At 36.0% G+C, this 26,386-nt stretch overlaps 1 protein-coding gene and 1 pseudogene across 6 annotated transcripts in view; both read left to right on the forward strand.

Annotated features, from left to right (window-relative positions):
* Window positions 1-25,416, forward strand: part of CNTN5 (contactin 5) — a 1,337,937-nt gene extending 1,312,521 nt beyond the window's left edge. For all 6 annotated transcript variants that reach the window (XM_017017926.2, NM_014361.4, XM_011542871.2 and 3 more), the window contains 4 exons: window positions 6,994-7,180; window positions 7,624-7,736; window positions 17,233-17,401; window positions 22,648-25,416. In XM_017017926.2, coding sequence (XP_016873415.1) covers window positions 6,994-7,180; window positions 7,624-7,736; window positions 17,233-17,401; window positions 22,648-22,751 — 573 coding nt within the window. In that variant the 3' untranslated portion in view covers window positions 22,752-25,416. The remainder of the gene's footprint in view (window positions 1-6,993; window positions 7,181-7,623; window positions 7,737-17,232; window positions 17,402-22,647) is intronic.
* Window positions 3,281-4,405, forward strand: RPA2P3 (replication protein A2 pseudogene 3; annotated as a pseudogene).

A 26,386-nucleotide genomic window follows, 5' to 3' on the forward strand; every position in this document is an offset into this window, starting at 1 on the left:
TAGCCAAAGCAAGACTAAGCAACAAGAACAAATCTGGAGGCATCACATTTGCCTGACTTCAAACTATTCTATAAGGCCATCATCACCAAAACAGCATGGTACTGATATAAAAATAGGCACATAGCCCATTGGAACAGAATAGAGAACCCAGAAATAAAGCCAAATACTTACAGCCAACTGATCTTTGACAAATCAAACAAAAACATAAAGTGGGAAAGGACACCCATTTCAACAAATGGTGCTGGGATAATTGGCTAGCCACATGTTGAAAATGAAACTGGATCCTCATCTCTCACCTTATACAAAAATCAACTCAAGATGGATCAAAGACTTAAATCTAAGACCTGAAACCATAAAGATTCTAGACTATCACCTCAGAAAAACCCTTCTAGACATCAGCTTAGGCAAATACTTCATGACCAAGAAACCAAAAGCAAATGCAACAAAAACAAAGATAAATAGATGGGACTTAATTAAACTAAAAAGCTTCTGCACAGCGATAGAAATAATCAGCAGAGTTAACAGACAACCCACAGAGTGGGAGAGAATCTTCACAGTCTATACATCCAACAAAGGACTAATATCAGAATCTACAGAGAACTCAAGTCAGCAAGAAGAAAATAAACGATCCCATCAAAAAGTGGGCAAAGAACATGAATAAACAATTCTCAAAAGAAGATATGCAAACTGCCAACAAACATATGGAAAAATGCTCAACATCACTAATGATCAGGGAAATACAAATCAAAACCACAAAGAGATACCACCTCACTCCTGCAACAATGACCATAATGAAAAAATCAAAAAATAATAGATGTTGGCGTGGATGTGGTGAAAAAGTTACACTTTTACACTGTTGGTGGGAATGTAAACTAGTACAACCACTATGGAAAACAGTGTGGAGATTCCTTAAAGGACTAAAAGTAGATCTACCATTTGATCCAGCTATCCCACTACTAGGTATCTACCCAGAGGAAAAGAAGTCGTTATACGAAAAAGATACTTGCACACACGTTTATAGCAGCACAATTTGAGATTGCAAAAATATGGAACGAGCCCAAATGTTCATCAATCAATGAGTGGATAAAGAAAATGTGGTATATACACCATGGAATCCTGCTCAGCCATATTAAAAAAAAGAATGAAATAATGGCTTCACAGCAACCTGGGTGGAAATGGAGACTATTATTCTAAGTGAAGTAACTCAGGAATGGAAAACCAAAAATTGTATGTTCTCACTCATATACGAACTAAGCTATGAAGATGCAAAGTTATAAGAATGACATGTTAGACTTTGGGGATTCAGGAGGAATGGTAATGGGTGGCAAGGGATAAAAGTTCTCGCATTGGGTGCAGTATACACTGCTTGGGTGATAGGTGCACCAAAATCTCAGAAATCACCACTAAAGAACCTATCTATATAATCAAACAGCACTGGTTCCCCAAAAACCTGTTGAAATAAAAAAAATGGAAAACTAAAAATTAGACAATTTTTTTTTAAAACTTGATAAGTAAAAAAAAAAAAAAAAGGTTGATAAGATGATGTGTTGTTGTACATTCATCCATTATAGCAAATGTACTATTCTGGTGAAGGATTTTGATAACATGGGAGGCTGCGCATGTGTAGTGGGCAGGGAGATTCAGGAGATCTCTGTACCTTCCTTTCAATTTTGCTGTGACTCTAAAATGGCTCCAAAAAAAATTTTAACAAGTGTGAAAAATTGGACAAGCAAAGACAAAATATTAGGAAGAACTACTCAATGGTTTTATATGACTGAATGAAAATGTAAAAGTAGGGGAAAGTTCACAACTCACCCAGTAATCAACAGCTGCATATGGCAGAACTCATGAGTTTTAGATTTTATAACTTCATGTAAGGAAACTGCATTGTGCATGACATGAATATCATAGAATCGTCACACCAGAAAATCAAATACACTACCTGCACAGTTAAAATAATCATTATCTTGGAGAATCAGCTTTGGGAAAAATAGAGTGTCTACTAAGAAGAACCATCCTTGGTCAGGCACGGTGGCTCACGCCTGTCCAGCACTTTGGGAAGCCGAGGCAGGTGGATCACTTGAGGTCAGGAGTTTAAGACCAGCCCGGCCAACATGGTGAAACCTCGTCTCTATTAAAAATACAAAAATTAGCCAGGCGTGGTGGTAGGCACCTGTAATCCCAGCTACTTGGGAGGCTGAAGCAGGAGAATCGCTTGAACCCAGGAGCTGGAGGTTGCAGTGAGCTGAGATTATGCAATTACACTCCAGCCTGGGCAATAGCGTGAGACTCCATCTCAAAAAAAAAAAGCCATTCTCTTTATTTAGGTTTGTCTCTATACTCTCCTACAGGTATTATATGAGTCAGAATTCATACTTCCTGTCTGCCACTAATATTATGTACATTATAATTTTAAATAAAAATAATATTTGAGAGACAAAAATCAGAAAACCAAAATAATATGAAGGATTAAAAAACATATACTTACAAATAATAAAAATCAGAAATATTAAAATATCAAGAAACAATGGCTCAAGCAGTTGAACAGCAGGGGAGCTCTCTAAAAATCATTCACAAACCTAAGAGAAGTACTATTTTCTCTGTTATATAAATAAAGATGCAGAGATTCACTGGTGAACTAACTTGTCCCATTATATGTGGCTTAAAATACCAAAAGTAAAATTCACATATAGACCTTCTGGCTTTACAACTTTGGAACCCATAATCTTCTTTCTGGGGTCTATTCTGGGAAATTAATCTAATATGTGGAAAACAGGGTATATGAAGATTTCCATGGCAGCATTTTAATTAAAGGAGCAATATGAATATTTGCACGGCAGCATTTTAATTAAAAGAGCAATAATTAGAAGCTATCCAAATGTTTTACAGTAGGACCATGGTTAAATAATATGTGGTACATAGGCATATGATACAATGTTATTTTTAAAATAAGAAAATATTTCTATATAAGAGAATGAAAGCAGGACATAAAAAGTATAATTATTTTAAATACATAAAATAGGAAGTGATACACAAAGAAAATAATTGTATGAAGATATTAAAATGATAAGCTGTCTGTGCTCTAATTTTAATTATTGATATCTTTTTAATGACTTTAATTTGGTTTCAAGTGATTTTACATAGAGAGTTCAAAGTTCATGAGCTGTTGAAATCTACATCTGAGGAAACAAACTAAATAAAGAGAAGTTTCAACCTTAGAAAGTGCATGTGACTTGTGAATATTGTGTAACCTCAATTCCAGCTTAAGAATCACTAAAGGAGAGAAAAGTAGCTAGAGCGGTACGGCAGCCTCCGGATTCTGAGGTGTTCTGCGACTTCCCCAGACCCTAACCTTCCCGGCCTCTTCCCCAGAGAATCACAATCTAGATGTGGAACAGTGGATTTGAAAGCTATAGCAGCAACTCATAGGGCAGCCGGTGAATACATGCAGTCCCCGGTAGGCTTTGGATCGCGGGCACCTTCTTAGGCAGAAAAGAAATCAAGAGCCAGAGCACAGCACATTGAACCCACACACATCTCAGCTGCTTTCTGCCACTTTGATTGATGAAGTGTTCAAAATTGGCAATGCTGAGATTTCACAAATCACTCTTGTAGGGATCATCAGACATGCAGAGAAGACTTCAACCAACATTGTTTACAAAATAGATGACATGACAGCTGCACCCATGAATGTTCACCAGTGGGTTGACACAGATGACACCAGCAGTGAAAACACTGTAGTTCCTCCAGAAACATATGTGAAAGTGGCAGGCCACCTGAGATCTTTTCAGAACAAAAAGAGCCTGGTAGCCTTTATAAATCATGCTCCTGGAGGATATGAATGAGTTCACCATACATATTCTGGAAGTGATCGATGCACACATGATCACAAAGCGAACAGCCAGCCCTCAGCAGAGAGAGCACCTATCAGCAATCCAGGGAAGAGTGAAGCAGCCTCCCTGTGGCCCAAAATCAGGTGTTGAATGTGATTAAGTCTTACCCAAGACCTGAGGGACTGAACTTTCAGGATCTCAAGAACCAGCTCAAACGCATGTCTGTATCCCCAGTCAAGCAAGCTGTGGATTTTCTGAGCAATGAGGGGCACGTCTATTCTACTGTGGAGGATGATCATTTTAAATCCACAGATGCAGAATAACGGGAACTAATTGGGTACCTGAGATTTTTTACAGCTGGACCTAGCTTCACAATCTGTTTTCTCCAGCTGTGCATATGTTTAGCCAGGTGGCTTCTAGAAGTCAGTTTCATCTATAAAAGGTCTCCACCGACATCCTTTTGAAACTTACTGCTCTTCTGTTTTGTTTGAAGCTCAGAGGGAGATGGGCAATTGACAGGGATACAATCCCAGGTGGAATTGCTTGAGGAAGTTACAAATAAGCTTGTTTCATACTAACATAATGCAAATAACTCTTTTATAAATGAAAACATGCTCATGCTCTCCACAACAGGGAGAACCAAAGAAAGTCCCATAAGTCAATTTGTCCCAGTCATCGTGAAACCTTGCCCCTTCTCTAGGGAACTACATCAGAAAGTTACCTACCAATAACACGCTCCATATAAAATATCAGAAGAAATGAAGAGGCTAAAGTAATTTAACATTTATAAAAACATACAAAAGACGAGGAAGAAAATGTGGCTAATTACTGTGGTCCTCACTTCATAAAGGTGTAGTTGCAATTTGTAACTTCCTTCTTCCTCCTTCCATTTCTTGTTCCTTTTGCTTTCAGCCAGCACTGAGGTTGGTTAAGGTTCTTAATATGTCGTGGTAGTTAAAATGTTCATTCTTGAGATCAGAGCCTATAATGGCTTCCTATGGTCACCACTGGAAGAGGCAATCCTAGACATGTTCCAGAATGTCTCCAAATTCCAATTAAACTTCTCACTGGCCACAGAGTATAGCAGCACCCTTAGCACCCTTAGCTGAAAGAGAATCTGGAAAATATGTTTTTGGCTTTCTAGACTCCACAGTACACAAAACATGAAGGAGGATGAAATGGGTGCAGTAATCTACTATTTCCACCACAGTAATTAAGTTGGGGGAAAAAAAAAGAATTACTCTCTTATGACCTTCGCCGCAGTAATGCAGGATTTTTCTCGGCCCCTTCATCAGACTTGTGACAGGAGTGACCCCATTTACTCGGCCTGCCGCATTCAAGCCTTTGTGGGAGGGAGCACATGAACAAGCTCCATGTGGGGCCCACAGCCAGAACAGGCACATGTGGATAAATGTAAGATCCTGCCAGCCAGTTCAGCTGCTGGCAGGAAAAATCTCCATGTGGGACCCATGGCAGTGCCCAGGTGGTGCTAGGTGCCTGTGACCCCTAAGCCCCAGAGGGAATGTTAACAGTGCTCTCTTAGCTCTGCTGTCCCCGGACAGCTGTGTGTTAGCAGCTCAGCTGACAGAAGCAAGCTCTGTGTGGGGCCTGCACTGGTTCCCAGGTGAGAGTGTCTGTAACCCTGGAACCCCAGAGGGAGTGTTACAGTGCTGTCTTACCTCCACTGTCCATGGATGGCTGTGTGTTAGCAGCTCAACTGACAGGAGCAAGCTCTGTGCAGGGCCTGCGGCAGTGCCCAGGTCAGGGTGCCTGTGACCCTGAAACCCCAGAGGATGGGTTACAGCATTCTCTTAGTTCTGCCATCCATGGACAGCTGTGTGTTAGCAGCTCAGTTGACCCCTTGCCTCATCACATGGGGCAACTACCCTCCACTGGCAAGGGCAAAGGGCTGGTGTGACAGACTATCTGGGTACCTGCACTCGGTGGGTCCCGAGCTCTTGTCTGGTGTCCAAGAAGAATGAGGTCATATGGATGAACTGAATGATGGGGAAGGTGGAAAATTTTACTGAGCAATGAAAATGGCTCTCAGTGGAGAAGGGAGCTGGAAAGGGGATGGGAAGGGCAGGTTGCCTTCCCTAAAGTTAGGCTATCTCTCCTCTGAAGTGCAGCCCTCTCTCATCGCTTCTGACTGATAGTGGGATGTTTCTCTGCACAGGACGGTGGGGGTGGGCCATAGGTAGTTTTGAAAAAGGCAAGATTCAATTGGTAAAAAGGCATTATTCAGAAAGAACAAATAAGGAGAGAATGGGCAAAAAAGGAATAGAAGTGCTCACTTCAGGCCATGGGTTTCAGGCTTCTCAGCTTGAAGGTGCAGTTTCACTGGGGACCCATTTCTGTCTGCCTAGAATTTCTCTGCCTCCTTCCTCTATCAACAGTAAGGAAGTAGATGGGAGAAAGCTACTCTTTGTTGCACTGATATGTAGTTAAGTTCTAGTGCCTAAACAGAGTAAATCTTTAGCTTAATTGTGGGACAGTCATTGATCTCACAAAGGGATGGAGTTTGCTGAAGCCAGTTACCATAAGCTCCTAACGAGGAAAGATGATCTCAATGCATAAAAAGGGCTTTGACAGAAAGCTGTTCCTTTCTGCCTCCCTCCACCCTCCCTACCCCCAGATCCTGACAATGCTGTTTCTCTACATTCAAACCATTCCAGAGTATCCAGTGTTCTACCACCTCTTCTCCATTAAACTGATACAGCTCGTGTGATTCATCTTTATGTGAAGCTCAAGAGGAAATACTCAGATGCCACATACTCAGATAATTCATTTGAAGTTTCATGGTTTTGAATGGTAAATTGTTCTGATGACCTATGAGAGAAAAGCACTCCAATTTCTTTGAATGATTCTTCTTTAATGTCAGGATGCATTTTCACTCCTTCAGGCCACCAGGCTACAAAGTAGCAGGTTTTGTTGTTTTGCTGAGTACTGCTGTAGTGCTGCAATTTACACAGATGCAAAGCAGACAGTGATTAGGAATGTGTTTTGGCCTTATTAGTAAGACCTGTTAATTGGGTGATATAGGAGTGATTTCTTCCTATGGGTGGACTCCAGCAACATCCAAAAAAGAGAAAAAGTTCAAGCAGCCACAAGCACAGAGGAAGCTTTAAAATTAACCTGCCATGTGATAATTTGTTGATAGGTTGGTTACTGGAAAGACATGGAACAGGAAGATACAGCAGAAACAGTCAAAACTAGAGGGAATGAGTCTTTCGTCATCCTAACAGGATTAGAAGGAAATACGTTATATCACTTCACAGTGAGGGCTTACAATGGAGCTGGATATGGGCCACCTAGCAGTGAAGTGAGTGCAACCACCAAGAAATCCCGTAAGTGACCTGGGCTTTTTGTTTGTTTCAGACAAAGGGGAAACATCGTATAACATTTCTCAAAGCCACGTGAGGTGCATAATAAGCAGAGTCAAAGGGGAGTTTTGATTCATAGTCTTGCTTCAGTGCTTAGATCTGAATCCTCAAACTAGCTCAGAAAATTCTGCATTCAGAGTAGACAAAGGTTATCTTCCTGTGAAACAAGGCTAAGCGATTTTGACACAGAAGGGAGATAAAAGAATTCAAGTTCAAAAGCTCAGCAGAGTAGCTATTAAAATGACACTCCTGGAGCAAAACCCTCCTTATCTGACTCCAGCTGGAAGGAAGCCTAGATTGCCAGCCAACTACTAAGCAGGAGAAAAGATTGAGATACTCACAAAGAATTAAATGAAGAAATGTATTTAAGAATCCTTGTCAGTTCACTTTCACTTTTTATTTTGCAGCTCCTAGTCAAGCACCTAGCAACCTCAGGTGGGAGCAGCAAGGCTCTCAGGTTTCTCTGGGCTGGGAACCCGTCATACCATTAGCCAACGAATCTGAAGTTGTGGGTTACAAGGTCAGTATTTCTTCACTCTTTTGCATAGATACTCATCTCCGAAATTGTTATTATGAAGATGGAAAATTAATAAGGCATAAAAAGACCCATTAACCAACCTATTTTTTCTCAGTCATTTTCTATCTGTATCTTAGAAAGATAGCCTTCCTATAGATAGAGAAGCCAAGGCAGTCAAAATTAGTTTCAACTGCACAAGGCACAGAAAGGGAAGGAGTAGGAAAAGTAGCGACAATCTGAATGTAGTGTGAAGATGACTCTGTGAAGCATGATATTAGGACCAGCAGAATTTAGGCAGAGAATTCTGGCATATTCTTCCAGGAGACTAACTTTGCTGGCAGCTGACAAATATGGGACCATTTCGTTTTAGTGGAAAGTCTTTCTATTAGCAAGGAAACAGAAGAACAAAAAAAATGTAAGGGCTAGAACACTAGAAAGAAAACAAAAAATCCAGGGAGAGACACAGCAAGCTCCAAAACAGAGCCAACATTCACATACAGTCATTCTGTTCTGTGACAGTAAGATCTGGAAATTTGATAACATGTGCAATTTGTTTTTGAAAAATAACTTTGTTATCTGATTTTTAAATATATGTGATCTATGTATTGAATTGGCTTAATTTCAAATTCTTGTTCTATAATGTCAGATTCTGTTTGTTGCATTAAACTTCACACAGAATCATTAGTTGAATATTCACAATATTTTTAATATAATAAAATATATTAAGTATAATATTTTAAAATATTTCAGTGATAATATTTCAACTGAAAGCTATCATTATAGGTGGGTTTTCAACTATCAGAGATGGTAACACAGTATTCAGTACATAAAATGCTAAAATTTAAGGAGCTAAAAACTGAAGAAGTTATAAATGGAATATTTTAATTTCCATTAATATTATATTACACAAACTAGCATTTGTTACCTACTGTAATTAGGATAGATCACAGACACACACACACACACACACACACACACACAAGTCCATCAGTAATGGTCGGGAATATTGAATTTGATCTTTTGCAGGGAGTGCAGATGGGTCATTTTCTATACCATTCCCTTACTCCTCTTTCCATACCCTTCCCCAAAAGACCATATCCTCACAACTTCTCCTCTTAGGGAAATATACTGTTTAATGCTTAGGGATAGCAGGCGAGAAATATGATAGACCATTCAGGAACCAATCTAATATCATTAGAACTATGATGAACAATATCCCAAACTGGAGAGGCAAAGTAGAATGCAAGAGAAAACCAGATAAACGTGTATGGTCAAGTGGAAGGCTCATATGGTTTAGGTACCTTTCAAGTGAGAATAGAGAAATACTATATAACTAGAAAAATACTCTATTGAGCTTGGGTGTAGGGATCCCAGGCTAGGTGCCACTACTCTTTGTTCACATTTGACACCTCTTTCCCAGTCATTGTTCTTACTTTTTATATATGACTGTCTCCCCAAACAGACTGAAGTCCTCAAAGGCAAGGACTTTATCTTACTTATTTCTTGTTCCTAATGTTTCTAGAATGGATGACTAACGTTGGCCCAGATAGAAATGTCTTATGCAGTTATTTATATATGTGTATTATCAAATATGTATTTTTTTCTAGCATAACCTTGCCATTTGTTGTTGCTTAGAGGAAAAAATATCACTGGCCACTGATTCAGACAGATTTTAGTTCAAATCCTAGTTGAGTAATTTAAGTAAGTTGTTTAAACTTTATCAGTTTTATTTTCTTAACTTCACAAATGGCAGAAATAGCAATAATAATACATATTATACAGGATTTTCTAAAGAATAATTTGTATAAAATGCTTGGCATATAAAATGTTCTCATTAAAAAACAGATACCATTTCTTAGTGTTGTTGGAGGAGCATGTCTCATTAGGTACAATTTTTAAAATTTTAACAAAGAAACTGATCGTTAAAAGTTGCCTGCCAGTTCCCTCTTAATAAAGATATCACAAGTCATGTTGGAATACCTTGTTGCTGAGGGAAGAATCACTAGCATAGTCCATTTTAGTTGTGTAAATTAATGACAAGTAGGCACACATTGCAAAAGATATTTTTTTCCTTTTATTTTCTTGAAATGGTTGCACTTCCTTATATCCCTGAGAAGGAAGAATTGATTCGTATAAAAGGAGTCTGCTGATAACAAATGGAGTGAGACCTCAAAACCTTCTCCTTTGCAACTAAACCTTATCGGAACCTTTCTGATGAGTGGGATGATCCCCACTGAGAGAACTGCTGACAGGAAAGGCTTCCTGAGGGAAAGGGGACTTCAGACTGGACTGGGCTTAACCCAGAGTTTGGATTCTCCTCAGAACGCGGGTTTTCACAGGGCAGCCAAGGATGAAAGCTCCTCCTGACACAATGGGACAGGAATATATATTTAGAAATAATAGCTGAGAATATAAACTAAAGAGCTATAACCCAGAGAACACAAGCTTGGAGCCCGTCTTCTGAGTATGACGTTGAAGACAGCTACTGCACCCTTGGCAAGGATCCCCACACAGCAGTGAAAGAACTGTACCATCTGAAGGTGCACACTAATATAGAATGACCAGGGCTGGGCATGATACTCAGAAGGAGAATCCTTTTGATTCCTACTACATCCCAAAAATTACTGCCAACCAAGAGTGGCACCACTATAATAGCGGGCCACCTCTTCTTAAGCACAATGTGTGTCACTTACAAAAATTAATAAAATAGGGACACAGGACACTAATCATTTCTCTTCCCACAAGGTAGTTTGAGGCGGGCTTGACCCATTAAAACTGAACTTGCCCCTAGGATTCTTGGAACATTTGAAGCAGAAAACTTCTTGCTCATCGGGGAAAGGGAGAGTTTCCATACTTAATTGGAATATTAAAAAGGGAGGTCACTTAATTTTCACTCTTTGTCTTTGCAAACTACTTCACTTTTGCAAGCAGAAAGGATCACTGGAAATGCATATTGTGTGGAGGTTTGAGGCTGAGAACTTGGGATTAATGCCTGAGGTTTAAAATGCAGGGAATATATATTCCACCTTTTACATTAAGTCCAGTTTAAGATTGAAGAATTCAGAAAAGTATTTATCTGGGAGACTTCTAGGTTGTGAAAGTTATTGAAACATAATAAATGCAGAGGAAAAAGTAGATATTTTCCCCATATATTCAGTGCATAAATAATGTAATAAATGATTCTTTTGTATAGTTAAGCTGCTATATACAGGATAGACATTCTGAAAAAGTGCACTAGAAACTGGATCTCATAAAGATAGAGACTGGTGGTTATCAGAGGCCAGGAAGGGGAAAGGAGAGTGAGGAACAAAGAGAGCTTAATCCATGGGTACAAATATACTATAAGATAGAAGAAATAAGATCTGGTGTTTGATAGATCAGAAGGGTGACTATAGTTAATAATCTATTGTACACTTCAAAATAGCTAGATGAGAATAATTTGAGTGTTCTTAGCATAAACAATGATAAATATTTAAGGTAATGGATAACCCAATTACCCTGATTTGATCTTTACACATCATACACATGTATCAAATTATCATATTACCCTGAAAATATATACATCTATTATGTATCAATAAAAAATTTAAAAAGTAAATGATATAAAGGAATAATACATTGTCCTTTAATCTTTAGTAGTTGAACTCCTTTCAGGCAGATAAATGTGCATTAATACCTCTAGGAATTTTAAAATTTATTTTGCCATTTTCCATGGAATATAATAAGAACACTATAAAAAATATATCAGTACATTATAAAATTTTAAAGCTTATATTAATAAAGTAATTGTAATCTTGAAAAGTAAACTATAGAAATAGCACAAGATAAAACAGCAGAATTTGACATTTGAGCTCCCCATTGTCCAAGAAAGCACTGTCTTAGTCCTTTTGCGCTGTTATAACAGATATCTGGGACTGGGTTATTTATAAAAAACAAAAATTTACTTCTCTCAGTTCTGAAGGCTGAGATGCCCAAGATCAAGGCTCCAGCAAATTCTGTGTCTGATGAGGGTCCACTTTTGGTTTCCACAATGGTGACTTGAAAGCAGTATCCTCAAGAGGGGAGGAACACCGTGTCCTCACTTGGCAGAAGGCGGAAGTGCAAAAGGGCCAACAACCACGAGAAGCCTCTTTTATAAGGGCATTGATCATACTCATGAAAGGAGAAGTCCTTGTGATACAATCACCTGTTAAGGGCCCCACCTCTTAATACTATCACACTGGCAACACCTGAATTCTGCAGGGGACACATTAAAACCATAGCAGCATAGATCTTACTTTCTTACTCGATTTCAGACATTGAGGTGTCAGCAACATATATAACTAGCAGATATTACTAGAGAAAGATGATAACAGAAATTTTGCTAACAGATATTAAAAAAAAAAAAGAGGTTTCCCTATCACAAAATCTTGTCAGGGCCTTCAAAGTGACCAAGAATATCATGAAAGATAGATGGAATTGAACCACATATAATTGCACAATAGGTAACACATTAAAACTGAATTCATTTAGGTGAACATTAAGCAGTACCTAGTGGTGAAACTTTCCACTGATTTTTTTTTGAGATTGTCTATGAGATGCTGGGCTTCTTGGAATTTTGTTTAAGAAATCCAGATTTAATAGTAATAATTTCAAGATATCATAGTTTTCACTAACAAGTAAGGACTAAAAGCATAGAGAACCAGCAAGATGTTGGAAAGGATTGTCTGTTATACCAAATAATAATACAAATAATTTCCACTCAAAATAACTTTCCATTTGAGAAGCTGAATCCAATTTGGTAATTTATTTAGCATATTTATGACTTTTCTTCAGGTCAATAAACATGTGCCACTTTATTTTGTTGTATTTACATTCCCCAATTCAGAATCAACTGCCTATTTTATTAATACATTATATATAAATGATTGGGAAAATGAAACAAAAACTTCAAATCAAAGTTTTCTTACCTTGACTTATTTTTTCAAATAAATGTTTTTAAACAAATAAAATTTTATTTTTACAACTCCTATAATTTGGGGTCTCTATCTAGAATCCTTACTAATTATAGCACGTAAGACTCACCATTACTGGTGTTACTAAAGAAATGCCAAAAAAGCTTATTGACTAAAGTATATTCAGCCATAATTTTTAATGATCTCAAAAATGGAAAATATTTTTCTTTACACGATGAAAGTAATTTACCCAGGTTATAAAGTAAAAACAACCATTTTATCTCCACCTTATTTTCTTCACACAGACTTATGCTTGAGTGAAAGGGAAAATAAAACTCAATGTTCAGGGGCTATGCTTTCACTTCAGCAAATGTCCCCTTCCCCACAAACAAAAACTGTTATCCCTTCAGAAAAGACACAAGCAGTCAGAAAGAATTCAGGACCTCAGGCTATAATCCAAGCAAAAACTATTAGTTTTCAAATCTGTATCTAGAAAATAGCCTTTCCTAGATATACAACCCCTTCACCAAATATCTCCCCTCACCCATATCTACTTTCTACCTGTTAACAGAGCTAGGGCAAATAGAAGGAAATCAGGCCCAAAGTTTACTAGTTATTATACAGTCCATCAATACCGTAATAGTCCATTTTCACATTGCTAATAAAGTCATTCCTGAGACTGAGCAATTTGTAAAAGAAAGAGTTTTAATGGACTCACAGTTCCACGTGGCTGGAGAGGCCTCACGATCACGGCGGAAGGTGAAAGGAACGTCTCACATGGCAGCAGACAAGAGAAGAGAACTTGTGCAGGGAAACTCCCCTTTATAAAACCATCAGATCTCATGAGACTTACTCACTATCATGAGAATAGCACGGGAAAGACCTGTCCCCATGATTCAGTTACCTCCCACCAGGTCCCTCCCATAACATGTGGGCATTGTGGGAACTACAATTCAAGAAGAGATATGGGTGAGAACACAGCCAAACCATATCAAATACAAACAGAGGTTCTCATTTGTTTATGCAACTTAGATATCAGTTGAGATTCCAGATTCCTGAGATATATGTACACTTGGGTTGATACTGTTTTACATACCCACTAGAACTTTGAAGCCCATCCCTGTATTTCTCTAGCTTCTTGGGAACTGTATAGTCTATAGCCACTCTAGCCTCTGATTTCTTTTATTTTGTAGCTCCTCCTTCATCTTATATTCACTCTAAATAGGAGACTCAGCCTTCTTTTCTCTGTTTCCACAAATTAAAAAGACTCACATATAATGACTTAAGCTGGAAGATAGGTACATGAGGTTCATTATAGTATCCTCTTTACATTCATTTATGCCTGAAATTTCTCAGAATTTTTAATAATTGAAATAGAAATGGCTCATGTCACATGCAGTATATATATGAAGCTGACTTTTTGGAAATGCTGGGGAGATAGAGTTAGAAAGGAACAACATGCAAGCAAACATCTGCAACATGCCCAAAAAGAAATCTTGTTGTTAAAATTGTGTTCAGACACCCTGCAGGCAGTGAATTCTCACTGATACTGTGTCTCCCAACTTCTATTCATCTAACTTCCATTGTCTTACTGACTCCTTCCTTCCCATCCCATTGTCACCGAGGCTTTAGATTCCTCACCCTTTTTATGAAGAGCAGTTGTACCCATCAATTCTTCCGAAGATGCTCAGCAGAGGAATAGGCCTTTCCTTTAATATGAGCCATCCCTCTCAGGAGTAGTTTGGGTATAACCAGCAAAAATTTATTCTGTCATATTTTTAGCACACTCTCCTCAATATTCTACTACCATCAAACATATAGAATAGCCATTTTCAGATCATGCCTTTGAGAATAGCAATACCACAATCACTTTCTATTTAGGATCATCTCTTTAGATAACCCACTGCTCTCAGTTTTTTTTTTAATACCAAAATTTGAGAATAGTCTTGACAATACATTAGACAATTTTCTTTATGCATAAACATAGCTGTCATTGCAACTGTCAATCTATAAATGTCCATATTCTCTAAGAACTCTCTGGACTCCTTACTGTCAATAACTATTTTTTTCTATGTCTTGATAACTTCTTAACCTTCTCATAGTTCTCATTCTCATGCATCTTTTCTAAATCAGGATTTTAAAATGAGCCAACATTCTCTAAAGCACTGAAGATTAACTATTAATTTAATGTATCTTTTTACTTAGTAGATCTACATATATGTATAGCACTCCATCTCCCTGGATATATTGGCAAAAGGCCACACTTAATCTCAAACTCGTTTTGACACCACTAACTGATTTTTTCCCCGTCTTTACCTCTTAATCCTAAATCTCAACTGATCCACAAATTTTTCTTCAACTCTAGAACATTAGATATGCATTGCTGGATGTATTTTTCTTTGTCATAAGAAATGTAATTTATTGAACCATAATAACACTGTCCTCTAAAATAATCACTCCCCTGCCAATCCTCACCAATTTACATACTTTCCCATTCCCATAAATTTGCTTTCTAATTACCTCACATGGATGATCAGAATTCTAATTCATCACGATGCTCCAGACGAAATCAAAAGCATACAGATATATTTGTCACATTTTAAGACAAAAGAAGCTGCTTAAGGCATCCTCCAGGAAGTGTTCCTGATTTCCCCAATCTTGACTAAGTACCCACTTTGTGCATTACCATAGCATCAAATATATTTCCCGCTGCAGTGCATATCACACTTCTTTGCATTGTCTGTCTGTCTTCAATATTAGACTATAAATGCCAGGAAGACTGTAACCATGTGGTCTTATTCTCTGATGAATCTCCGGTATGTAGTACTATGCCTGGCCTGCATGAGATGTCCAATAAATGTTTGATAATGCTGTTATCACCTTGCATTTACACTGAGGCTATAGCATCCTTCACAATAAGGATTTCCATAGATAAAATTGTTGCACATCATAATTAAATGGAGAATTCACTTCCCTCCCAAGAACATGAAGTAGATTTAAAATTAAATGAAAAAAAAGAAAGTGAAATGGAGGGAGCATTTATTACTAGAATTCAGAGGGTTCAAGTACACGCAGGCTTCAATATGTGGAAATATTGCTTCTCTAAAGTATTTTTGGATTTTTTTGTATGTAAGTTAATTCAAGCTCAAAACACATTTTCTGTAAGAAAATATATGTCAATAATTATCTAATTTCCCAAGTCAGTTCATATTTTATGATGCACTTGAAATACCAACCCTTTAACAGTTAATAAACAATGATGGCAACAGAAGGAGTAGCTTTCTCTTTTTAAGCTTATCATACACCAGGTCCTGTGCTAGGTATTCTACAGGCGCTTTCTCATTTTACTCCCCTAAAACACTAAAATTGTTATTATCATCTCTATCATACAGTAGAATAAATTGAAGTTTACAAAATTTAGTAACTTGCCCAAATTTTCCCAGCCAGGAAGGTATAGGAGATTTTGTTTTCTTTTGCTATGTTTTGTAGGAAACTGTTTCATATCCAGATCTGTATGAATACAAAGCCATTTTTCTTTCCATTGTACACTTATAATACCAATTATGAAAAAGCACAAAAAACAGTGACTCTGAATAAAAACACATTTAAACACATCTTAACTGCCACTACTTGACTATTATACCAAAAATTTTACTTGACTATTTTTGGAGGCAAGTAATAGTACAATATAGTAAAATAGCTCTGAAGTGATGATCAAATATAAATCTTCTGATGAGATTTCTACCCTAACTAGCCACACGGTCTTGTACAAGTCACCTAACCTTTATGGCCTTCATTTTCTAATATGTAAACCCAGGATTATCCTGTGTCCTGATTTGCAGTTCCAAAATTGTTTTCCGTGCATGTATGTTTAATTATAATACCACAACAGATGTCTAAAAAGCTTTAGCTTTGCTACACCATGTATCCAAATGCCGATTTTACCAAAAAGCAAACCACTACAAAAGCAAAAATTAAAAAAATAAAATTTTCACTTTCAACTGTTTCCTACATTGTTAAGGATTTATTATTGGTATGTTTAACAAATTTTGTTTACTCCTTTCAAACTATTTGAAGATGAGCTTTCCAAACTTCCTTAGGATATTTCAATAACCAAGCATAACAGACTCTCCATGATCTGCCTCCTCTCTACCTACTTCTCTAGCCTCATTCCTCACTATTCCCATATATCCCCTCTCCATTCCCTGCTCTCATGCCATTGTTTCTTATTGCTTAGATGTAGTTATTAATTTTATCTTACCTCTTTCTGGAATTCTCCCTTTCTCAAACTGGTCCACTCTATCATATTTAAGTATGTAGTTCAGACATCACTTCCTCTGGAAGTCCTTCACTAAACCCCTAGACAAAATTAAACTCTCTCCTGTACCTCCATGGCCCTTTTGTGTACTTCTACTGCAGTAGACTGCACATGTATTACATTTGCTTATGTATCTGTCTAAACTGTAAGCTCCTTGTGCTTATCTCAGAATGTGACACATAGTAGGCAGTCAATGTGCATTTGTAATCTTTCATATCAAATGTCTAAACCTTGTTATTACTCTCAGGTTTTTTATAGGCAAGAGGGTCACAGCAACAGCCAAGTTATTGAAACACAGAAACTTCAAGCAGTAGTACCACTCCCAGATGCTGGAGTCTATATTATTGAAGTTCGAGCATATAGTGAAGGAGGAGATGGAACAGCTAGTTCTCAAATTAGGGTACCATCATATTCAGGTAAGTTTTGACACAGTAGATTTAATTTGCTGACAACCAACAATTACGAGATGGTATGAAAGTCACGAAAATTGATGTGATAGATTTCATGGTTCAGAGATTTTGAGGGATTTCTCCTCTCTGATTTTTATATTATCTTCTGATTAATATGAACCATAGTAATCTGCTCACAATTGCAGAATTTCTACAAATCTAGAAAGGAGTTGACATTTTCATTAGAATATACTGATTTGTGAAATGTCCTTGCCTCTCCTGGTCTCAAGCAGTACCTTGCTAGCCATTTGGTTTTTGGAGTATAGCTTTTAAACTGATATTACACTGGTTTTGACATACCTACATTTCTGTAGTTTTGATTGCCTTTATTGTTAGACAATAAGGAATTTAAAGAGAAGCTTTTAAAATTGAAATGTGACCATATTTATTGATTTCTAAACAAATTATAAATTTTATTGTACATTATTATTAACAATATTAATAATTGCTAGCTTTCACTGACCCTTATTATATGTCAGGCATGGTCAAAAGTGCTTTACATACATCATCTAAGTTTAGTAACAATCATATGAGATAGGTGACATTTTTACTGTTTTGCAGAAAACATTTAAGTAACTTGCCTAAGACCACACTATTACTAAGTTTCGGAACCAGGATCAAAACCTGCGTATGATTGTCTCCAAAACCACATATCTCCATCACCACCATCATTATTACATAAGCAAGGGAAAACTGATTAAAGGAAGCAAGATTTTAGAAATTTAGAAGAAAGCAACCATTTCGTAGAGATAGTAAAAAAAAAAAAAAAAAAGCAAAAATTAGGCAAATTTCTAATTTTAAAAGTATTAGACAATTTTATGAGAACATTATGAAACATTTTCTCATGTACAATTAGTGGGTAATTAGGAACATCATTTGTTGAGCAATCATTGCCAAGCAGAATTATCAACCTACAGGGAAGTGTCCCGTCATGCTCTGTATGTGGCCCTATGTTATTTAACGTATTTATCAACTTGAAGTCAGACCAGAGGCATTGCTTGTGATTTTTTTTTTTATGCCACCAAGTGAAATGGGAGATAAATACAGTGTAGAAAAGAATGAGACAGACTGGAACTTTGAGGAAAAGCTACTGACATAATACTTGATAATTTTTTTAACTTTTTAAGTTCAGGGGTACATGTGCAGGTTTGTTACACAGGTAAACTTAAACTTGTGTCATGGGGTTTTGTTGTTCAGATTATTTCATCACCCAGGTATTAAGCCTAGTACCCATTAGTTATTTTTCCTGATCCTCTCCCTCCTCCCAACCTCCACCCTCTGATAGGCCCTAGCGTGTACTGGTCCCCTCTATATGTCCATGTGTTCTCATAATTTAGCTGCCACTTACAATACTTGATAAGTTCTCACATGAAAATACAGGATAAGGAACATTATTGATAATTGATAAGATTTGCATACCTGTAAATTAGATATTACATCAACATTCATTTCATTTTTTTAAAAAACTATACTGTGGTTATATTTTTAAAAGCCTTATTTTTAGGAACTATACATTAAAATATTTTGAGGAAAAGATGCATCATATCTGCTATCTGCAATTCATTTCAAATGTTTCAAAAAAATGTATATATGTACAGAAATAACAATAAAGCAAGAATGATAAACTGTCAACATTTAAGGAATCTGGGTGAATTCCTTAGTCTCACAACTTTTCAGTACACCTAAAAGTATTTTTAAATGAATAGTTAAAAATACAAAACATAAGATGGGAGAAATCTGACTTTTTCAGAAATTCTGGTGAAAAGATCTAAGAATTTAAATTTTATTGTGGTCACACAAAAATTTAATATGCTTTATGGTTCATTTATAAAAGTATAGTTTTAACAACAAGAAAAGTTATAATGTCTCTGCATTAATTATTTCACAATTGAACTGTTCAGATGAAGGCTGAATTTTCAAGAGCATCTTAAAAGACTATTTCCTGAAAAGCAAAATATACGACAACCTTCCTCTTGCTTCAGCACGTCAGATTCCTAGACAACAATACAGTGAGCATTTACTGAGGCCTCATCACGTTCCTGGGATTAAACTAGGTGTTTTCTATATATTATTTTATCTTTCTAGCAATCCTTTGGGTTAGGTATTTTATTCTTCTCTGACTCTCTAAGGTTACTTTCAACTCCAACACAATCAGATTCTATAGTATTATCTGAATAAGATCAGCCTCAACCTTGGAAGTACTTATGACAACCTTAATTCTCCCATTTATATTTTAAATTGTAACTTCTACTCCAAGAAAAAAATTGTCAACTTTTATATTTCAGTTAATAAAATTTGGGCAGTGCAACCCACTTCCTGAGTTTCAGTATGGGAAACTCTTACACTATTGTCTACCTTAGACTCAGAACCTGAGTCATGATTGGTTTCATTTTTATCATATTGCAAAAACCAAATGCCTAAGATATTGAATGACTTGCCCAAGTGAAACAGCTAGTTAGTTTTATAGCTGGGGCAAGAACTTAGTCTAATGTTGCTCTTTCTGTTGTTTTGTGGGGTTGTTTTGCTGTATGAAAGTAATATGTTTTAGCTTTGTAGATTCTATTTGAAATTTGAGACACAGACCCTACTTAGCATTCTGAAAGTGAGATATTTTTATAAAAGTGTCAGGTAAGTTGATTTAACAAAGATGCAGCCATTCCCAATAGCTAGAAAGGATGTGTTCTTGTTTTTTATTTATTAAGCATGCACATACGACTCCAGTGAGTCTTTGTCATCTCGCCTTTCTTATAGCTCACAAGTGGCTATGTGCTTCACAATAACCCCATTTTGTACAAGTTGAAATATATGCATCATTCTCCAATATGTTGATTGATAAGTTCTAGTAGTGTATTAGCTGTAAAATTTTTCAAAGGAAAGATTTACGCTTTTTGCATTTGTGTGTGTGTGTGTGCACGCCCATGTGTGTGTTTACCAAACAAATTATTCTCTAGCTCTTAAGCATCAGGAAAATAAATTCAGACTCTATCTTTGCAACTAAAACTACCCCCCCAAATCCCATTACACTCAGTCTAGCCAGAGAGGATTACCTTGACAGAAGATTCCAGCAATTGGGTAGTAGATTATAGTATTATTATTAGGGTTTTAACTAAGGCCAATCATTGTTTTAAGAGAGATAATACACGAGTATCTAAATCCACTAATTCCTACCTCAATTACTCTAAGCAAGTTTACAGCCTTTCTAAGCCCCAGTTCCACCTGCAAGAGGAGAATAAATAATTGTATTTACCATATAGGAATGTTATGAGGATCAAATAAGATAACATATATAAAAAGCTTCGTACAGTATGTGACATACAATAATCATTTATTAAATAATCAATTATGATCATGATGCTTCAGAAGACTTCTGGCTTGAAGAACCACTCCTGATGTTAGTATCTAAAAGTCACTTAGTTTGTGGTTATGTAGGGCTATTAAAACTACTTCAGACCAATCAACCTTGGATCAGTCAGTTTAATCCAACAGCGATTCTAATATATTAGCTGCATACAATGTTTTTGTCTCATAAAAGATCCTCTCCTGGGTATAAGAAAGAGTGACGAAAGATCACCATTTTTTGCCAGGTTTGGCATGAGAACCTAGAATTTAAGCTCACTCAACTGAAATAATCAAGAACACATAAATAAATTCAGTAAATAAAATAATGTTATTAGATTTTAAAATTTACTAGAGTAAGCATAGTCATGTATTTCTTAATGATGAGGATAAGTTCTATTAAATGCATCCTTCAGCAATTTCATTGTGTGAACATCATAGAGTATGCTTACACAAACTTAGATGGTATAGCTTACTATACACCTAAGGCATATGGTATAGCCTATTGCTCCTAGGCTGTAGACATACACAACATGATACTGTACTGAATACTGTAGGTAATTGTAACACAGTGCTATTTGTGTATCTGAACATAGAAAAATTACAGTAAAGATATAGTCAGTATAAAAGATAAAAAAATGGTATACCTCTACAGGGCAGTTAACAGGAACAGAGCTTGCAGGGCTGGAAGTTCTGGGTGAGTCACTGAGTGATTGCCAAGTGAATGTGAAGGCCTATGACTTTATTGTACACTGTCATAGACTTTATAACTGTATACTTAGGCTATATTACATTTATAAAAACAATTTTTTCTCTAATAAACTTAGCTTACTGTAACTGTTTTACTTTATAAACTTTAAATTTTATCTCTTTTGTAATAACACTTAAAACATACATAATACAGATTAAAAAAACATTTTCTTTATATCTGTATTCTATAAACTTTTTAATATTTTTTATTTTATTTTGTTTGCTTTTTAAACTGTTTTGTTAGAAACTAAGTCACAAACATCCACATTAGCATAGGCTTAGGCCTAGGTCAGGATCATCAATATCAGTCTTCCATCTCCACATCCTGTCTCACTAGAGGGTCTACAGGGGCAATCATACACATAGAGCTATCATCTCTTGTGATAATAATGCCGCCTTCTGGAAGCCCTTCTGAAGGACATGCCTGAAGTTGTTTTACAGTTAACTGTTATTCTGTAAGTAGGAGTACACTAAAATAATTACTAAAAGAATAGTAAATACATAAGCCAAATAACAGTCATTTGTTACCATTATCAATTAAGTACTGTACATTATACGTTTATACAACTAGCAGAACAGGTTTGTTTACACCAGCATCACCACAAATACGTGAGTAACATATTGCATTACAACATTCTAATGGCTACAACATTACTAGGCAATAGGAATTTTTCAGTTCCATAATAATCTCAGGGGGCCACCATCAGATATGTAGTCCATGGTGGACTGAAATGTCATTATGCAGCTCATGACTGTAAATTATGAATTCATATTGCCACAAATTTTGTAATTTTTGCTCCATTTTCTGAACTATGCACTATCAAAATTATTTTATTTTTTATATCTGAATTTGGAATACTTTCATCATTGGTGAAAATTAAATCTCATGATTGGATGTGTTTGTTAGACATGACATCACCTTTTCAATACAATATCTCATATATACTTGTCCCTTCTATATAACTTTGGGAACCTCAGATAATGTCTGATTTTATAAATATAAAGAACACTCTCATCAGAAACAGGAGCGATCTTGCACTCATTAGTCTTACATACTAAAAACAATTCTGTCCTAGCTCAAGCAAAACCAAGATAATTTGCTCCATTTGATGCTTCTTTTTTCACAGGTGGAAAAATCACAAGTGCACAGTCGACCCTTCACTCTCTCTCCACATCTTCGTCATCAGTCACCTTGCTCTTGGCATTGATGATTCCTTCAACTTCCTGGTGAAAACTGCTGACTTAATTTGCTTTTGTTTGCTTTAGCTTGGTAACAGCGGTGAATAGAGTGTAGTGTAAGTGGAGAACCAGGATCCTGAGATGAGCTTGAGCTTTAAAAACTTGGGACTATACATGGTGAACTTACAGGAGGTTAGGGGGGAAATATTACTTATCCATCAGGTTTCTCTTTGGTTTTTGTAAACGGAGAGGACAGTTCTTAGTCCAGTAAAAATATGCAGATTGTATGTAATGAATTTTTGTAAACAAAGGTAATTTCTGTCAAATGTATTCTTTACTTTTTTAATATGTTGGGATTTTATTTTATATCTGATGACTCCGAGTGTGTGCCATCCATTTGTTAAGTAACTGGCCTTTAGCAGATCTGTTTCAAAAACAAATACAAAAATGAGAATGAAAAGTTTGCTTAAGACTAAGTCCAGTGTTTTTCATTTTCCCTTTGGCTGAATATTTCAATTGACAAACCAGCAGGACATATGAAAAATGCTTCAGTGATGTGGTCCATTATAAGATAAGTACACAAAAATTTTCTTGAAAAATATTGTATGATTGCATAGTGAAATAGCAAGATTTGTCAATATGCTATTCTATATGCACCCCTAGAGCAAGTCATTAGGGTAGGGAATAAGCCATTTACATTAGTGCAAGATAGAAAGCGAGTCCAGATGAATTTCAGTGCTATAGTTTTTCATAAAGTACTATGTTATCTAGCAGCAAATATAATAAATATTTATTTTTAATAACAAAAGATGGTTTAACATCACCAAAAAATATGATCACTAAAAACTGCAGACATGCTGGCATGGGTGCTAACTTAAAAATGAGATGAATATGGGACAGAGCGTTTCCATTTCTTTACCTACTGCCAAAACAGATGTTGAATTAGGTCCAAGGTTTTCTTCTAATTGCAAAATTTTGCAAAAATTTTAAGGGCAATGAAAATTTGTTGTGCAAATAATTATGCATAGTCTGTAGATTAAAATGGTTCAAGTATAACAAATAAGTTTTGATTTTTAAAAACAGTTCCATGCATCACATACCACTGATAAAATCAACTAGTAAAATAAAGACAGTCTTTCTTGGATAAATTGAATTTTTAATTAAGCTGTGGAAACATGGCATCAGTACAGGGATTCAGCTAGTCTAGCCAGCTATGCACTGTTTGATTCTGTGGCTTGGGAAGTAATCCTTATTTGCTATTTCAAAGAGTCATCTTGAGCCTGAGAGATCCTAGAGAGTTGTTGGAAAATGAGATGAAAATTTTCTACTTGATGATATCTTAAAGAAGTTCTAACAAGCACAAGAATGTGCCAGAGTTGGCATCATACCCATGAAGATGCGTGAAAGGATAGTTATTGCAAAGTCATATGCCAGAGAAGAGCCTGGAGAAACTATGGTTTTATAGGCGATGTTAACAAGAGAACAAAAATTGGTTTTATAATTTTATATAATTTAAACTTGTTAACTGTATTTGCTTCATTAATAACAAGCAAAATGAAACAATATGGAGCTCAAATTGCTAGCTCTCAAGGTTAATCCTTGTAGAATCAGAGAAGTGATTGAAGTTTCTGTTCTGAACATCCTGAAAGAATAGTTTCAGAGCCACAGTAAAAGTCTGTATGTAGGTTACATATTCTCTTTGGGGAAATGATGTAAGACACCCTAAACAAACAAGAAATTAGTTAAAAGACTCACTCAATGATATTATAGTAAATACTACAGATGGTAAGTATTTAAGCCTGTAAGTAAGTAATTATGACCAAGTGGCCTTTCTTGAACGCCTCCTTTAAAGTGGGAGAGGCTGGACTTTGCAAAAACAGGGATGCTAATTGTTTAGCTGGCAAAACATGAGCTCTCCCAAGTATAGTTTACCTTTATGAATTGTGCATCTGAATAAAAGACAGAAAGAATATTTTTAATGCAAAATAATTTTACGTATTTCATGAATCAAGCCATTTTCTTCATTTTCCATGGTGGTGTACACCAGATTTAGTGAAGGACTTTAAGAATCAACTTCTTACTTACACTCTCAGAAAGCAAAGCCCAGTAAAATATTAAACAAATAAAATGGCAAATTTAAATTAACCAATATTTTTAATTAGCTGATGGATGGTACGTATCTGACAGAGTATTTACACATATAGAATGTCTGATGTATTCTTACAGGAATCAGAGATATGGAATGTTTTTACTTAACATACACAGAATATGTATTTTGCATCATAAACCTATTTAAAAAACAGGTTTTCAATGTTTATGTACTTATGTGCTGCATATCTGTTACTTTGTAGAAACCAGAAGAGCATTCTTATCAAGGTACATTATTTTTCAGCTACAGTACTGAGTTTTTTCTGCTATGGGATAGTAACCACAGTCTTAAATCACTAAAGAGACTGTATTTTTGTATAATGTCCATTGAATATGAAGAAAGCAACAGTCCTTATAATTAGAAATTTCATGAAAGCAAAAGTTTTGCATACCCAAATGAAGGTACTGTGGACCCCATGTCAAACTGTTAAATATATTGTGTACGATCTGTATATATACTATATATAAGGCATATACCGTGTGGAAGGCACAGTCAAATAATAGTTCTGTGTACTGTTCTTGTAACATTAGATCTTTTTAATAAATAATTCTCTTTTTATTGACTTTTATCTTCTCTCCTGTCAACTATATGAATGACATTATTTATTTTATGCAGACCACAGAATGCCAACGATTACAGTCTGATTTTAACACTGAAATATCATTATGTTATGCTGTTATGATTTGAGGTTCAAAAATCTCCAGAAATGTCCACGGTAGTCCCAACTTGAAAATTTGAAGCTATATCAAAAAATAAAACAAGAAATGAAGCAAATCCAGATGGGATAAGTTCGGGGTTAAACTCATGATTTTCTTTTCAGGAAAAGAGACTACATGAAATCAGTTTCATAAAGAATTTGTTAAATGCATACTTCTGCTTTTATTATAAACAGTTAATCCCAATCTATTCTAAGTACAATTCTCATAGGCATTGACTCTTTTTTTGTCCCTTAGCCCTGTTATACATCTCAACTATACCAATAATCACATTATAATGATTTGTTTTAAACGCTTCTCTCCAACTATCTAGTCACTGGGATTGCCCAGGGAAAAATACATTATTCTTGGAATTTCTCTCACCAGTGTCTAGCACAGTATCTAACACATATCAAATGAGCAATAAATTGTCAGCCTTAAAATTTCCTTTGGAACGAGCTCCCCAAAACTGGGTAATCGTCCAACACAGCTGGGAACCCAAATCTCCAAGTTCTCATTCAGTAGGTCCGAGACTAGGAAACCCTTGTTTTTAAAATCTTCTCAAACACAAAATAATACAACTCTATTAAAGGAAATTTGGCAATATCTAGTAAAATTTTATATGGATTTGCCCTTTTACCTAGGATATCCATACCTAGGGATCTATCTATTCCTAAAATAGATACAAAAATATGCAATGTTAAGTGGATAAAACAAGATACAGAAGAGTGAATGTATGACCCTTTTGTGTAAAATACAAACACATTTACTAATATTCTGAAGAAGAAATAATGCAAGCATAAACTAATGACTAATAAAAAAGTGTTACCGATTGAGGAGGGA

Source organism: Homo sapiens, chromosome 11, assembly GCF_000001405.40.
Source record: "Homo sapiens chromosome 11, GRCh38.p14 Primary Assembly".
In the NCBI taxonomy this organism is placed as follows: domain Eukaryota; kingdom Metazoa; phylum Chordata; class Mammalia; order Primates; family Hominidae; genus Homo; species Homo sapiens.